This window comes from Homo sapiens, chromosome 6, assembly GCF_000001405.40.
Source record: "Homo sapiens chromosome 6, GRCh38.p14 Primary Assembly".
Classification (NCBI taxonomy): domain Eukaryota; kingdom Metazoa; phylum Chordata; class Mammalia; order Primates; family Hominidae; genus Homo; species Homo sapiens.
Window position 1 is genome coordinate 114,199,310 of NC_000006.12, and position 15,870 is coordinate 114,215,179.

General features: G+C 37.9%; 1 protein-coding gene and 1 long non-coding RNA gene across 12 annotated transcripts in view, besides 2 other annotated features; one reads left to right on the top strand and one right to left on the bottom strand.

Moving 5' to 3' along the window:
* HDAC2-AS2 (HDAC2 and HS3ST5 antisense RNA 2) overlaps window positions 1-15,870 on the top strand; it is a 371,029-nt gene that overhangs the window by 229,609 nt on the left and 125,550 nt on the right. The gene's annotated exons all lie outside the window — the stretch shown is intronic.
* Window positions 1-15,870, bottom strand: part of HS3ST5 (heparan sulfate-glucosamine 3-sulfotransferase 5) — a 287,428-nt gene that overhangs the window by 143,714 nt on the left and 127,844 nt on the right. The window lies entirely within an intron of this gene.
* Window positions 3,980-4,481: an enhancer, noted in NCBI's record as "H3K4me1 hESC enhancer chr6:114524453-114524954 (GRCh37/hg19 assembly coordinates)". NCBI's record gives its function as "activates a minimal SCP1, AML or CMV promoter by ChIP-STARR-seq in primed H9 embryonic stem cells {active_cell/tissue: H9 hESC(primed)}" and the evidence as "EXISTENCE:reporter gene assay evidence [ECO:0000049][PMID:30033119]".
* Window positions 4,482-4,981: an enhancer, noted in NCBI's record as "H3K4me1 hESC enhancer chr6:114524955-114525454 (GRCh37/hg19 assembly coordinates)". NCBI's record gives its function as "activates a minimal SCP1, AML or CMV promoter by ChIP-STARR-seq in primed H9 embryonic stem cells {active_cell/tissue: H9 hESC(primed)}" and the evidence as "EXISTENCE:reporter gene assay evidence [ECO:0000049][PMID:30033119]".

The following is a 15,870-nucleotide window of genomic DNA, read 5'->3' on the forward strand; positions in this document are numbered from 1 at the left end:
CAAAATAAATACTCTGCTCTTTCTGGAATTAGGTCCCTGTTTGGTCAATGTGGCTTTTTCCAGTGTGTGAATTTGTGGAATATTGTTCCTATGAAATGCTCCATTAAAAAAAATATTCTATGCCCAAATAAGTTTGAGAAATGTTGCAAAACATATTTCTCCTTTGGTATTTGATAATGCACACAAGCACATTAAGAGCTCTGAGAAGTCCTACAGTAAAAAAATGTTTATCTTATTTTACAACCAGAGTTAACTATTGTAAGGACAAATAAAAATTAAAAATAAGAGAATCCTCCTGTTGAAAATAAGGGAACAGATACTTTTCTCCCCTCTTTTATTTTTTAAAGAACATCTACTTTAGAAAATTTACCATTGTATTAATAAATAATAAATACTTCTTTTTAAAAAATGTCTATAAACCTTTTGAGAGCTAGATAGGCCTTTTGTCAGCTTTATGTCTCAAAAATGTTTTTCTTAAGGACATGAGAGTCATCTTTTTGAAATGCAAACACCAAAAAAGATAGCACCTCTATCTTCCAGTTTTGTGGCAAGTAGCTTAACTTCAATGGGCACCTTGCTCCAATTTGCAAAGCTACCTCCTGTTGTAAAGATATGAGGTTTGGGCAGGGCACGGTGGCTCACGCCTGTGTTCCCAGCACTTTGGGAGGCTAAGGGGGTGGAGGGGCAGATCACCTGAGGTCAGGAGTTCGAAACCAGCCTGACCAACATAGTGAAACCCCATCTCTACTAAAACAAAATTAGCTGGGCGTGGTAGCACGTGCCTGTAATCCCAGCTACTTGGGAGGCTGAGGCAGGAGAATCCCTTGAACCCTGGAGGTGGAGGTTGCAGTGAGCTAAGATTGCACCATTGAACTCCAGCTTGGAAAACAAGAGTGAAACTTCAACTAAAAACAAAAACAAAAACAAAAACAAAATGAGGTTTGTTTTTCCTCTGGTTAAAGACAATAAGCAAACACAGATGATCACCCCATAGTGTCACACTATGTGTGACAAAAGGTGTTAGCAAGTCCTCTCATTTGAGAACTAGTTATTGTTTATTTTGAAAACATGTATATAATGGGTTTGTAAATGCTCGGTTATACAAGGTGGTGAGATTCCTTTTTGTCTTTGAAAAATCTTAGTGGATATCACAGTGAATTGCCTGTAACGAGCATCACATTTTGGTTTAATGCATATTCAATAATAAAAGTACTTTCTTGTTCTATACCTTTGTGGAGGGGATTTCTGGGTTGGGAAAAGATTTAATTTTAATTTTTCTTTCAAAATACTATACATGTTTGAGCTCCCCCAGCCCCCAACCCCCAAACACATGCCTTTTTGCAAACACCAATTAAAACTGTGCACATTTTGAGAAACAATGATTTATAGTATTCTATTTAAGGTTTTATAAGATGGTTTCAAATATTTTTAAGATTCTAATTATCTTAAGAATGAGAATTAAGAAAATTTGACTGAAAAAGAGACAAAATAACAAGTTTCTTTAGGCATGCAAGCAACATTTCTCATTTGCACTTCCTCATCAGCACCTCAGAGAACGCACAAAAAATGATTCATCAATTCTCTCAAGGATGCTCCATAACCAGTACTATTTTGTACATATAAGATATAACTTAATTTATTAGATACAAGAGATGTTTTAAGGCAAGCAGGCTTAACTCTATTGTGAAACTCCAGTTGAGAAGACTGGCTGATCATCAGCTCCTCTACGAACAGAGCAGTCTATAAGCTGATAACAATTCTTCTGAACTTTGGACTCATACGTGCAATTGCTGACTTGACATTTCTACTTGGATGTCTAATAAAAATCCCAGCTTGATATGTCCAGTACTAAATTTGATCTTTCTCCATAAACCTGCTCCTCAAACTATCTCCTCTATTTCACTTGACGGCAACTCAATTCTTCTAGTTGTCAGGTACAAAAACCTTGGAGTCATCCTTGACCTCTCTTTTTTACCTATAGTAAAGAAATCTTGCTGGGTCTATCTTCTAAACATGTCTAGAACTGGCCACTCCTCATCTCGTCTGCTATCACTCAGGAGTGGGAAATCATAATCTCCTACTTGTTATTCCAATAGTCGTTTACTAGTCTCCCTGCTTTTACCATTGGTCCCTCTCTTGTCCTGCCATCTTTAGAAGGGCAGTCAAACTGTTCTTTTAATAGTTCTCTCTCTGACCTCATCCAGGCACACTCTCTTCCTTGCTGTTCATATATGCTAGGCACCTTTCACCTTAGGGTCACTGCTCCCTCTGTGATATTCCCCCACATGGCTGCATTCCTCACGTTCTTCAAGACTTTGCCTAAACGTCAGCTTCTCAATGAGGCTGTATTGGTCCGTTCTCAGGCTGCTAATAAAGACATACCTGAGACTGGATAATTTATAAAGGAAAGAGGTTTATTTATAAAGGTAATTTATAAAGGAAAGAGGTAATTTATAAAGGAAAGACTCACAGTTCAGCATGGCTGGGGAGACCTCAGGAAACTTACAATCAGGCAGAAGGGGAAGCAAACATGTCCTTCTTTACATGGTGGCAGCAAGAGGTGCTGAGCAAAAGGGAGAAAAGCCCCTTATAAAACCATCAGATCTGTGAGAAATCACTCACTATCACAAGAATAGCAGCATGGGGGCAGCTGCCCCCATGATTCAATTACCTCCCACCGGGTCTCTCCCATGACACATGGGGAGTATGAGAACTACAATTCAAGATGAGATTTGGGTGGGGACACAGCCAAATCACATCAGAGGCTATCTTGACCACCCTATTTAAAACTGCAACCTCTACAAAAAAGTTTAAAAAAAAATTTCAAAAGGCCGGGGAAAATGAGTCACACCTGTAATCCTAGCACTTTGAGAGGTTGAGGAGCAGGGTTGCTTGAGACCAGGCGTTTGACACTAGCCTGGGCAACACAGCCAAGACCTCGTCTCTATAAAAAATTTTTAAAAATCCTGCAACCCCATTCTCCAATCCTTGGTCCTCCTGACCCCACTTATCCTGCTGCCTTCCTCCCATTGTACTGTTTTCTAATATACTCATTAATTTTCCTGTTGTATTTATTGCTATTTTCTGATTATCTTCTCCCCTCCCCTCTAAAATATAAGTACCATGAAGGCAGGAATCTTTGTATCTCAAGTGCCCAGAGAGTTCCTGTTACATAGAAATAGTCAATGAATATTTGAACAAATTAAACAAGTGGAGTTTGAAACTAGCAGCAGGTGAGACTAGGGTTTGATGCATGGAAAATTAAAATCTCAATAGGTTGGCTGTCAGGTTCATTTACAGGTAAATGAGCAAAGTCACAAAATCCTCTCTTAGGAAATCATGAGCCTAGAGCACATTCCTACATAGTCTAGAATAGTTAGGGGAAGCCAGCCTGGAGGAAGAGTAATGAAGCAGACATTTGGTAGATTCAGAGAGCTCTATTGTTCTATAAATAATTTAGAAGAAAAGAGAAAAATTTGAGGGCTATGCTTTTTATTTCAAAATAAATATGAGAGTAATATACTCACTAAAATTTGATTAACTCTCCTCAAATGAAAACTGAAGTCATAATTCCCTTCTGACAAAATGGTGTTGCAAATAATTTAAATTTTGAACATTATCTTCTAGGCTTTCAGGCGATAACTTCAAAAATTTTAACCAAAAACAGAATAGTTGAGGCATGGCCAACTCTCTTGTTTTGTAATCAGAACTGGTGGTTAGTTAACTGCGAAAGTGGCTAAAGTGGGAAATTGACAATTAATACTTTGTACATTTGTACATTTCACGTTAACTTAAAACATGTACATTTCACGTTAACTTAAAAGATGTAGGGGCCAAGGGAAACCTCCCCTTTTCCCTCTGAAGGCTTGCTGAACTCACAAAAGACAGATTAACTGTGAAACTGCCTTTGTAGTTTTAAAAATTATAACAGTGACAGAAATCTAACCTAAGGGACTCCATCTGGCTTCTAACCTCACAAGCTATCTGCCTTGGTTAGCTTTAACACAAAGATGGTAACAGTTCCTTCCTGAAATTAACTCCCTCCTTGCTTGGAGACTGAACCGCCTTTGTAAGACTGATGAAAGGCCACAAGGTTAGGATTATGTGGGAACCCTGAATTCTACTAAGATGTAGGCATAATTAGATGATGATGGCCATCTTCGGGAGGTCACAAGATTTGTAACTTCCCCAGTCGCTCCTATAGATAACATCATTATTGTCAAATAGTGTCTAAGATTGGTCTTTGAGATATTTTTCAGACTTTTGCATTCTGATGACAGCCCAAATGCACAGCAAGGAACTAAGTCATACCAAGGAATGAAGTCAACTGGTCCTGTGACTACTCCCCCTCCCCTGAAACTGACTCAGCACACAAAGACAGTTTAAACACTCTTCTGATTTCATCCCCAACCATCAACTGCACCCATTCCCTAGCCTCTCTCTGCCAAATTATCCTTACAAATCCTAGGCTCCGAGCTTTTGGGAGGCAGATTTGAGAAATGTCTCCTGTCCTGCATGGCTGGCTTAGCAATAATTAAATGTTTTCTCTACCACAACACCACTGTCTTAGTGTGATTGGATTTTCTGTGCAGCAGGCAAGAGGAACCCATTGGGCAGTTACAATTAAAGAAAAGGCATACAAATTTATTAATGTATACATAGGGAGAACCACAGAGTGATTCCCTACCCTCCAACAGGGTTCGGAAGCGTGTATACCATCCTGGCAAAATAGGTTATGGCCATGGAGAGAAGAGGAATTCTGTGGAAGGAATTACTAGGGAGAATGAATGCATCAGGGAACAGAGATTAGCTTGTACATTTTCCTGTGAAAAGCTTTGTTCAGGTGTGGTTACATTCTTGGTCTTACAGGGAAGGGAAAAATAACAATTGTTCCTTTTCATAGGTCTGGATCTGAGGCAGATAAGGGCTTTGGGAGAGACAGTGGTGGGATAGAAGGTCAGAATGACCTTGAGGCTTCTTCAGTTCAGCATGTCAAAATGCCACACTTTGAGGTATCAGTTTCTAGGTCCCAACATGCATTATGAAATCATCTTTTAAAGGAAAATCAAGGCCTTTTCTTTGAATGTAGGACTGGTGATTGGTACTCTTTTATTTTCTTCCTTACTAAGTCACAACCTATATTTTACCATCTACAAATTCCAGTTTCATATCTTCAAAATAATACTATAGACATCTCTGACGAATTTTTAGGGTTGATGCATTTTTTAAATCTAAAACTTCTGTACTGGTAATTCATATTTACATATATTTTTAAAAAGCTCTAAGTATGTTTTAAAGTATTTTTTTGGGTAATTTTACACTATAAGATTTACTTTTATAGTATAAAACACACACTTTATTTTTAAACTTTCCAGAATTATTTTTTCTTTAATATTTGAGTTGTCTTGTCCACTTTGATAGAATTTTTTTGTAACTTGCCTTTATTGAGTCTTTCCAAAGAATTTACTTGATTTTCATAGAAACTACCCTTTCATTTTGTACTTATATTTCTAAAACCTGTTAAACATTTAACTAAAATATACAGCTATCCCGAGAATACTATTGGCACAAATAGTTTGGGACCAAATTCTACCAGCTCTTGATAAGTACACAACATGCCTGGTAGAAACATGAATACATGGTAATCAAAAGGGTATCATACTGGCCATGCACACTCCATATGCCTTGAACCATGCTCACGGCCTTTTCTTGAGGGCATAGTGAACACTGCCGTTTGTTTTTTCCAAACAACACCCAATTCTACAGTTTTCTAACACAAACTAGGTTTCCAACAATTTAATTCAATTTTGATACTAACTACGTAGAATTCGTGCAGATCCCACACGTTAAGGGCTCAGTTCCACAAGGATGTCCCACTTCAGATGCAGTTTCAAGTCCTGGGTCCTCTGGCTACCTAGATTTCTGTCTGACTTGGTTACAAATTTAGAGGTTCCAATAACCAGCCTATTAGGTATAATTATTTGCTAGAATGACTCATGGAACTCAGGAAAACACTACACTGTACTTACAATAACCAGCCTATTATTAAGGATGCAACTCAGGAGACACCAAATGGAAGAGAGGCATAGGGGAAGATATAGGGAGTTAGGGAGCACAGAGCTTCCATTCCCTCTCCAGTTACTCTGCCCTCCCAATGTATCAACATGTCCACCATTCTGGAAGGACTCTTAGTCTTGAAGTCTCAAAGTTTTTAATTGAAGTTACATTTCATAGGCATGATTGATGAGATCATTGGTCATTGATGATTTAACTCAATCACCAGCCCTTCCCCGCTCCCTGGACATCAACTGGTGGGGCTGAAAGGGTTAACTCTCTAGTTTGGTAGTCCTCAACCTTTTTGGCAGCAGGGACCTCTTTTGTGAAAAGGACCAATTTTTTTATGGACTCGGGGTAGTGGTTGGGGATGGTTTTGGGATGAAACTGTTCTACTTCAGATCATCAGGCATTAGATTCTCATACAGAACAGGCAACTTAGATCCCTCACACGTGCAGTTCACAATAGTGTTCATGCTTCTATAAGAATCTAATGCTGCCACTGATCTGACAGGAGGTGGAGCTCAGGAGGTAATGTTCACTTTCCCACCCCAAACCCCCAACCCTACGATTCACCTCCTGCTGTGTGGCCTGGTTTGTAACAGGCTATGGACCAGTACCAGGGGGTTGGGGACCCCTGCTCTAATTCCTGCATTTATTTCTGGGTTCTCTATTTCTATTCCATTTTTCTAGACCTTCCTGCTCCCTCTTCACTCTTGAGTCATCTAATTAACAGACGAAAAGACACCCTTATCACTCAGGAAATTCGAACAGTTTTTAGGAGCTTTATTGGGGGTGGAGGAAGGACAAAGACCAAATGTATTTTTTATTGTACTACACAAATTGTTATGGTATTGCAGTGAACACATTTATTTATTTGCTTCCCCTCTAGACTGTAAACTCCTTGAGGGCAGTTTTTGTATCTCTTTTTCTTTTTTCCTCCTGATGCACAAAACAGATAGATACTCACATTTTTAAAATAAGTGAGAAACTGTCTGAATGAAGCTAGCAAATTGCATCTTATTCATCTATAACATTGCTCAGTAATAAAAATATGGTATAACTAGACATTTCAGCAGAAATAAAACTATCATAAATTATAATCATTCACATGAAAAAATTCTTATTAACTCAGTTTTGGGATGCAGAAACCAGATATCTGGCCCCAGATTGGCCACTTACTTGCTACATATGATTGAGCAAGTCACATAACACTCTAAGCCTGAATGTTCTCAACTGTAAACATGCAAGAAAAATAATACTCTCTTTTAGCTCACAGCAATACTGTGAGGGTTGAATAAGAAAATGTTCTAAAGTGGTCATACCTTTAAAACATTAGTCGAATAAGAGAAATTAAAATGTTACTAAACATACAGTATTTATAAACATAGAATGGCTTCTGAACAACAAAATGAAAGGAACAGAGAAAAACATTTTCTATAAGTTTTATTTAATCCTGAAAGAGGCCAAAAAGCCTGGAGTTGCATACATAGATTAACCTGACCTTCTAACTCATCAAGTTTGAGAAGGTTGTGGCAGGGAACAGAAGGGACATTGTGGAGTACATTAAAAATTGCCCCATCTTCAGTCTACTTGAGTCTGATGCTGCAATCAATGAGAAATTTTCATGTATTAAGGCTAGAGGATACAGTATATCACATTCAACTGTTTCCAATAAGGTTATTTATTGCTATTCAATTCACATTTCCCTTAGGTTTTGGCAAGATTATAGAATTTATTCCTCCTACATGGTAGCCAGCCAAGTAAATCACATTGCATACTTCCATTGTCACACATTTTTCTTACCCAGCATCAGTGGCTTTATTTCTTTGTCCCTCAGAGTATCTTAAAATTTAGCTGTATAAGCTGCCCTTTTGTAATTCTGCAATTTAGTATTATTGCTTCCTTCCAAATATTTTCTTAATAAAAAATGTTGAAAAGAAAAGGAGCGCAAGTCAGGTGGTTTTCAACAATAAAACCAGAGACGAGGTGATATATATTATGGACAAAACATTTTTCATTGTAGAGAAAAAGTACCAGTTGATATTGAAACAAAAAACAATACTATCTCTGCTACAGGGTCTCACAGCACTTCATTATAAATAGAGAAGCATAAAGAGCAGCATTAAAGCAGCCTAGTGGATTCCCCTAAAGACAGTCATGGTGAAGAAGGCTCATCCCTACTGTTTCATGCCAAGCATTCTCAGCGAGAAGTCCAAACTCAGATTATCCTGCTCTATAACTCAGGCTCTCTCTCTCACTCTCTCTCCTTTAACTGACTTTGGTTGGACAAAAGACTCCCCTGCCTCCACCACCCATTTGTCTTTTACACCTTTCCAATGAAAAAAAATCTTGGTGATACATAATACCTTACTAACTATATTATACTGTTGCTGTATTATATTGTACTATCTATAGTACTATTATACTATTAACATACCTTACTACTATGTAATACAATTATACCATTCTATACCATATGTCTTATACTGTGCTGTACTATACTACTCTATATCATACTATGCTGTGTAATTCTGAGGGAAGTTTGTGCATATATCTACTCTAGTGATGGAAGTATGAGGGATCCCTCTTTGAACCACAATACATCCCATGTCTTACTACAGTATAGTTACTCTAAGTTAGGCCAAAAATATCACTCACAAAAGTAGGGATCACTAAATACTTCACGGTTAACCAAATAATTCATAATAACCTAAGTAGATAATGATGAATTAAAACTAGAAATAGTAGCAATTAAAAACCCTAGCCAACTGAAAACTTAATCATTGAGACACTGATAATGCTTCTTCTAAAAACTGGGGACACCCCAATGTTTTGTGTGGATGTGCGGGAGCTTCTGAGTGTTGGTGGCCCATTCTTAGGCACATTCTCAATAAATTCTGATAATCATCAATTTTAGTTTATGAGGGCCTAATTTTTAAAAACACATCATAATTCACTATTTGTAATTCACCTCTAACATGCTTTCAACATAGGCACTGTCCACATTTGGGGTTGAAGAACTCTTCATTGTGGGCACTGGTCATTCACCCAGACAATTATTGTCCCTTGACCCTGAGTACTAAATGCCAATGGTATCATTTAATCTTCATGACCACCAATAAGATCAAGGCCAAATGCTTCCTAGCTGGGGGAGAATAGTACAAAGAATCATATTGCTTATGAGAACTGAAGAGAGGATCATTGCAGGGGCGAGTGTGCAACCCACCAGGAGACCCCATCCTTTCAAATTGCCGTGTTGACTCTGAATCTGACTGGTCCATAGACTAATAAAAGCTATAGATACGTTTGTTGGTATTGCATTGTAGGAAAGAAACATTCTTGTCTCCTTTACTTACTCAGTGACCCTGGATGAGTCTTTTGATGTCTCTAAGCTTTAGCTCTCTCAATTTTGAGAAGGCGATGATAATGCCTGCTTTAACTAGTCTTTATACAATTTTATGCAAGGTGTTTTGTTCATTGTAAATCATGATGCAGCTATTTTAAAGTTTAGGGTTTGTCTTGGGTTATGTGTTTATTCCCAAATATAGTGCTTATAGGGCTATACTATAAGCTCACTAAATACTCCTGGACAATGAATACAATGAATGTAGCCAAAGCCAAACAAGAAGGATAGGAATTAAATCCACAAGGGATCATAACAATTGCTGGCATGTAAAGAACAGATTTTAGTTTAGTTAAATTGGAATTATGAGGTGTGGGGGCTGTGGAATCTGGGCTGTACAGGTTTTCAGAATCACTTCATCATTGCCAAACTAAAATGGGTATAATGTTCTTTTTTACATTCTGCATTGCCAGTGAGACTGTACATTCTCTACAGTCAATTCAATTCAATTAAGCAAAGTTTCATTAAGTATATGCTAAATTTTGGCACTGTTTTTGTTTTGGAAATTACTAATTATATATTTTAAATTTTTAAAAAATGTGCATTTTGAATTCCTTTTTTATTACTGAAAAAAAAACTTGTGTATTTTTTATACCTTCTTTTTTTAACAATGTTCCTGTGCATAATTTTCAAGATTATTTTCCTCTGACCCAATTTTCTCTTTTTTTTAAAGTTTCTTCTTCCTACATTTTTGCTTCCTGTATTCTTTCAGCTTTTCTATTGAGTATTGCTTATCTTCTCACCAACTCATTAAGCAGTGTTAGAATAAATGATTTGGTATTCAAATTCTGGATGCTTATTTTAATAAAAAGAAAGCCATTAAGCAGAAGATGAAAATTACTTGTAACTGTTCCAATTTTTATTTTGCTATCCCTTATAGTAGAAACTGGCATGCAATTATTAATTTAAGTTGGTTAGAAATAAATAGCCCATATCAGTTAAAGAATACAACCTCAAATATCTTGGGTGAATGACTGGAAGTCAGAAGGGGGAAAAAAGAAATGGGAGAAGGAGGAGAGGGAAGAAAGGGAGTGAAAATACAAACACACACATATGAATGCTTGTGTATGTTGCTGCACAGTAGCATAAACTTCAAGTTTGTTCTCCTTTCAGGGTAATATAGAAAGAGAAAATTCTCAGGCAATAGCATAAGGTGAACTTTCAATGTATCTTGGGCTTTTTAAAAAAATCTATTAAAATTATTACTCAAATAGAATTTTGACACCATACCAGGTTGTTCATAGCCTTTGATTTTTCTGTCAAAGGCCAAAGTAACAAAATTGATATGTCATCCAAGGCAAAAAATGTAAATACTCTATTGTAAATCAACCAGATGAAATAAAATGGAAATGTTGCAAAAACACTTAGACAAAATATTCATTATTAGTAGTAATTACAAACTGAAATTAGGAAATAAAAATTCCATATGAGCAGTAGTGATTTTGTAGCTCCATTCATCTGTGTGCCCCTCTAGGTATATTCTACATTTTCATTACATAATTTGAAAGCAAAAGCCTCTTGTAGACTTGCACCTCAATTATATGAACAAAAAATGCATTAAAAAATCTGTGATCACAATTCATGTCTTAAGGGATTTTAGCTTATTTTAGCTATTGTAGCAGCTGCTCTGGTTTCTGAAAAAAATGGACAAGAAAACTGTTAGCAATTCTCCAGCTTAAGCAGCGGCAATGTGAACATCAACTAATATGAACTGGATTAACAGGGGCTGCATTAAATGGCTTACTATGAACGCAAAACTGATATTTTGTTACAATTCCAAGAGACAAATGGACCATAACAGCATTATAGTCCATAAGAGCATGTACTATACCCAGTTAAGGTCTGGGACACTTCTGTGTCATTCACATCTAGGTTTAGAAGGTACCAAGGACAAGGCGCTCTGTTCCCTCAGACCAACTGCATTTAGATATAGCTCGCTCAGCATTTGCAATGAGCAGTGATTGGCCTTTGCCCAATTCAGGGACAACTGCTACTTGCCAGACATCTTGGTCATAGTTATAAAATTTCTACGTAAATTGAGACAAGATTTACATACCATTCCACACTTTCCTCCCTCTTTTATCCTATGTCTAAATTCCATATTCTCCAAGTCAGCCTTCAAATATTGAAGACAGTTTTCAGTCCCGCACTATATCTTACCTCCTCCAGGCCAAAGGTTCCCATTCCTTCAGGTTACTCCTCAACCCTTTTATAATCCTAGGTGTCGTACTCTGAACACATTTTGTCTCTGCTTTAGTAAAGTGCAGCTTTCAAAACATAATGTACTATTTTAGGCATGGCTGCAGATGTGACCAACCTAGAGTAAGACAGGTTGTCATGCTGGACACATTCTTATTACAAATATAATCTAATATCATATGAGCTTTTAGGCAATTACATCACATCTCTAACTCATACTGAGTTAATTATTAAATGAATGCCCAGAATCTTTCATATATGTTTTTCTTTCTAAGTTCCTCCCAATTTACTTTTTAAATTTTTAATTGGAGAATGGGACTTTACATTTATTTCCACTTCATCTTATTTCCTCGGATTTAGCCCAGTTTTGTAGACAATACAGATCTTTCTCAGTCTTGATCCTAACTTCCATTGTGTGAGTTATTCCTCAGTTTCATGACATCTGTAAGTTTTATTTCCAGAGAGCCACTGGTTCCTATGACTCATTCTAAAAGCCATTTCAAAATAATAAAATTAAAGATGAAATTATACAAACATTTTATATGATGGCTATATAAATGATTTTTCTTTTTAGTAACTTTAGGAATTTTTTATGAGACTCATGAATATATTTCCTAAAATTATGCCATATTCTATTAATATAAAGACTCCATTTACTAAGACAAGCATTTAACTTTATAAATATCAGGGAAAAATGTATTAAAACCAGCTTTCATTAATATATTCCTGAATTACACAGAAGGACCAGAAAATTGTTTCCACTTATGATACTATAGTGGAACAGAAAATACTTGGCATAACAGACTAAGCAAGAAGAATCAAATAGAATTCAAAATAGACTCTGAATACTCAGAAGCTTTGGAATTATTGAAAGATCATGTAAGGTAATTGCTAATGCCTAAAACATAATGAATGGGAAAAATATCCTCAAGTAACATAACATGTGCACATGTTATGTGCCCCACATTGTTCTGCAACAGCGTGGGAAATATGATAGAAAGACATATTGTCACACTTTGGAATGATTTTGTGAGAACTGGCAACCAGAGTCCAATATTTCAAGCATGGCTGTGGGTGTGGTCTATAACGGCCTCTCCTGGATCCCCGATTAAAGGGGTTTGTGTTAATGGAGTCCCTGCTTGCTAACAGATAATGCTGTTCACTTATAACCAGGCTCCTTAGTAGACACTGACTGGGAGTTAATAGGATCATTATCACCACAGGGAGTCTCCTCTCTAGGATACACAGAGCTTTCTTCAACAAGGGCAGGCTGGCCTTCTGCAAAGTTGTAGTCATAGTGATGATGGATATTCCAAATTCCTAATATATTTTCTCTACAGAGAGCTTCTACCATTCAGTTGGGAGATGTATGGATACATGGTGATGTTGATGTTTCATTGCTCTTTTCTCACTTGCTGCCCCAGAGTAATGAGCACTCCTCCAATTTATCATTCCTCCTTTTGAACCCTAACACCATGATGCCAACATTCATATTCTATAGATCCTGGTGGAGAAAACAAAACATCAGTTGCAGTTTACTATTCCCTACTAAAAAAAGCATTAATTAGACCATAAATGCTTTTATATATTTAGATAATTCCCAGTATTATTTAGCATTTTAATAGTCCTCTTTTTAACTTAGACATATTTACTTTTGCAATTCTATCAAAGAAAGCTCTCTCCATTTTATCTCTTGAAAACATTTAAAGCAGTTAACTCTAAATATATTGCCTGTGTTTACAACACTCTTAACTTGCCTGTTTCAGTAGGTTAGTAAGAGCCTTCACTCTAGTTAGTAAGTTCTTTTGAAATGGGATAGCTCCCTTGACCCCTTCAAGGGACTCGAGAAAGGGGTGGTTTGTGTACTCAGCCTGCAACCCTCAACCCCTCATGGGAGGGGGAGAATGCAGGTGAGTGGATGCAGGGGCTAGGTCGAGTGCTTCTGGGTGCTGACAGGACTTTTAGCTTTGCTGTCTGCAAATGGCTTAAGTGTTTAACAGCTCAATGTGACAGCCTTCTGTATCCTGAGCTCTCGTTCAGCATACAGGAAGAATCAGGTCACACGAATGAATTGAAGATGGTAAATGCAGAGGATTTTATTGCCGATGAAAGTGGCTCTCAGCGGGATGGAGAGCTAGAAAGGGGATGGATTGGGAATGTGGCCTTCCCCTGGAGTTCGGCCATCCCTGGTTGAACTCTTCTTCGAAGTCCTGCCGTCAAGCCATCCTTCTGAAGTCAAGCTGTTTCTTCTTTCTGACATCCGGCTGCTTCTCTTCTCCTCTCCTCTCCTTTCCTCTCCTCTCCTCTTCTCTCCTTCTTTGCTGCTCTGCTGCCAGTAGAGCCTGGGGTTTTTATGGGTACAGGATGGCGGCGGGGGTGGGGGGGTGGGCAGGGCAGGCAAAGCTAGTTTTGGAAAGGGCAACATTGGGCAGGAAAACAGGAAGGCATGTTCTCACTCTGGGCTGTGGGTCCAGACTTGAGGGTGGGCTTCACCAGGGACTCTGCCTTTCTCGGTCTAGTATTTCCCTTCCTCCTGTCTGTTATCACTTTTAACCTTTCTCCCAGGTACAGTATTGTCTTCTGGCTTTCAGATTAAAGCATTCTCTGCAGCTTCCTCCCTTTTCTTTGTAACATTCCAATTTAAGATATTTCCTCCTGTATACCTGTCCCCAGGTATCTCAAGATAAGGTACAATCCCAGTTTTATCATACTCATCCATAGTCTCCTAGAGGACAAGGTAAAACACGTGCAGGGATATCTTGCTGCATAGGAGAGGCATGAAAAACTCCTAACTTGGTATTCAAAATCTTTCACTATTTTATCTCTACGATCCCCAGTCCATCTTTGATCCCCACTCAGTCTCAGTTCACATATGGTGAACTCTAGCAAATCAAATTGCTTACTAATCTTTCTACATGTTCTCGCCTCTCTCTATACCTATAAATTGTATCTTAAGTTCTTCCTCAAGGCCTACAATGCTCTTCATTTTACTTATTCTGTTTTTCTTTCCTAGAGAAGTTCTCCCTTTTCCTGATTTTAAGCCTTCATTCACTCTGTTTTCTGTCCCAGGAAATGTCTCTTATCTTACCTTTGGATATCTAACTGCCTCTTTATGAAGCTTTATTTCGCCAACTGAAGTAAAGCTTTCTTTCTCAAACATCCAAAGATAGTCATCTGCATCTTCCCTATAGCATTTATCACTTTTCAAACTTTTAATCTGAAATAAATGTAGACTTACAGACAAGTTGCAGAGTTCCTGTTATACCCTTTAACTAGCTTCTCCCAATGTTAGTATCTTGCATAACTTTTAACTAAACATTCCAGTTTATTTGAATTTCCCCAGTTTTTCCAGCAACGTACTTTTTCTCGTCCAGGAGCCAATTCAGGATCCCACATTGCATTTAATTGTCACATCTCCTTAGTCTCCTTCAAACTGTATCAGTTCCCCAGCCTTTTTTACTCTTTCATGACCTTGACAACTTTTTAACTTATAATAGCCTTACATTTGGACATGTATATTTCCTCACTCTGTTGTAAGTTTCCCGTAAGATTTGTAACTGAGACACGTTTTTAATTCCCAATGTGTCCAGCACATGATAGGAGCTCATAATTACTCCTTAACTGCACGTCAGAAACAATTAGAAAGGACAGTAACAAAATCTGCATAATTAAATACTGAGTTGTATGCCACACAGAATTTTAGCTGTTACAAAAGGTAGAGAGCAAGACTGAGAAATTATAAAATAGACAGCTCTCTTTTCAGACACTATTTCTGAGCCCAATTTCTCTAGGCCCCAGAACAAGAATCACTGATGCTTCCAACTCTTAAGCTAATCATGGCACACGGAAACCTGGTGGCCAATAGAAAGGGCAGATACAGCCTCAGTCCCAGCATCTAGCATGACTTGCTGTTGGACCTCACTACCAATAGACCTCATGTATCCTGTGACAGGGATAGGTCCTGGACACTTGCACAGACTGCTGAGATAGAGTAATTACTCCCTATTATTTCTAAACCTTAGTTTCTGTCCTGTAGTTTCCTGATAAAAACTCAGGGCCAGGCGCGGTGGCTCATGCCTGTAATCCCAGCAGTTTGGGAGGCCGAGGCGGGCAGATCACGAGGTCAGGAGATCGAGACCATCCTGGCTAACATGGTGAAACCCCGTCTCTACTAAAAAATACAAAAAATTAGCCAGGCGTCGTGGCGGGCC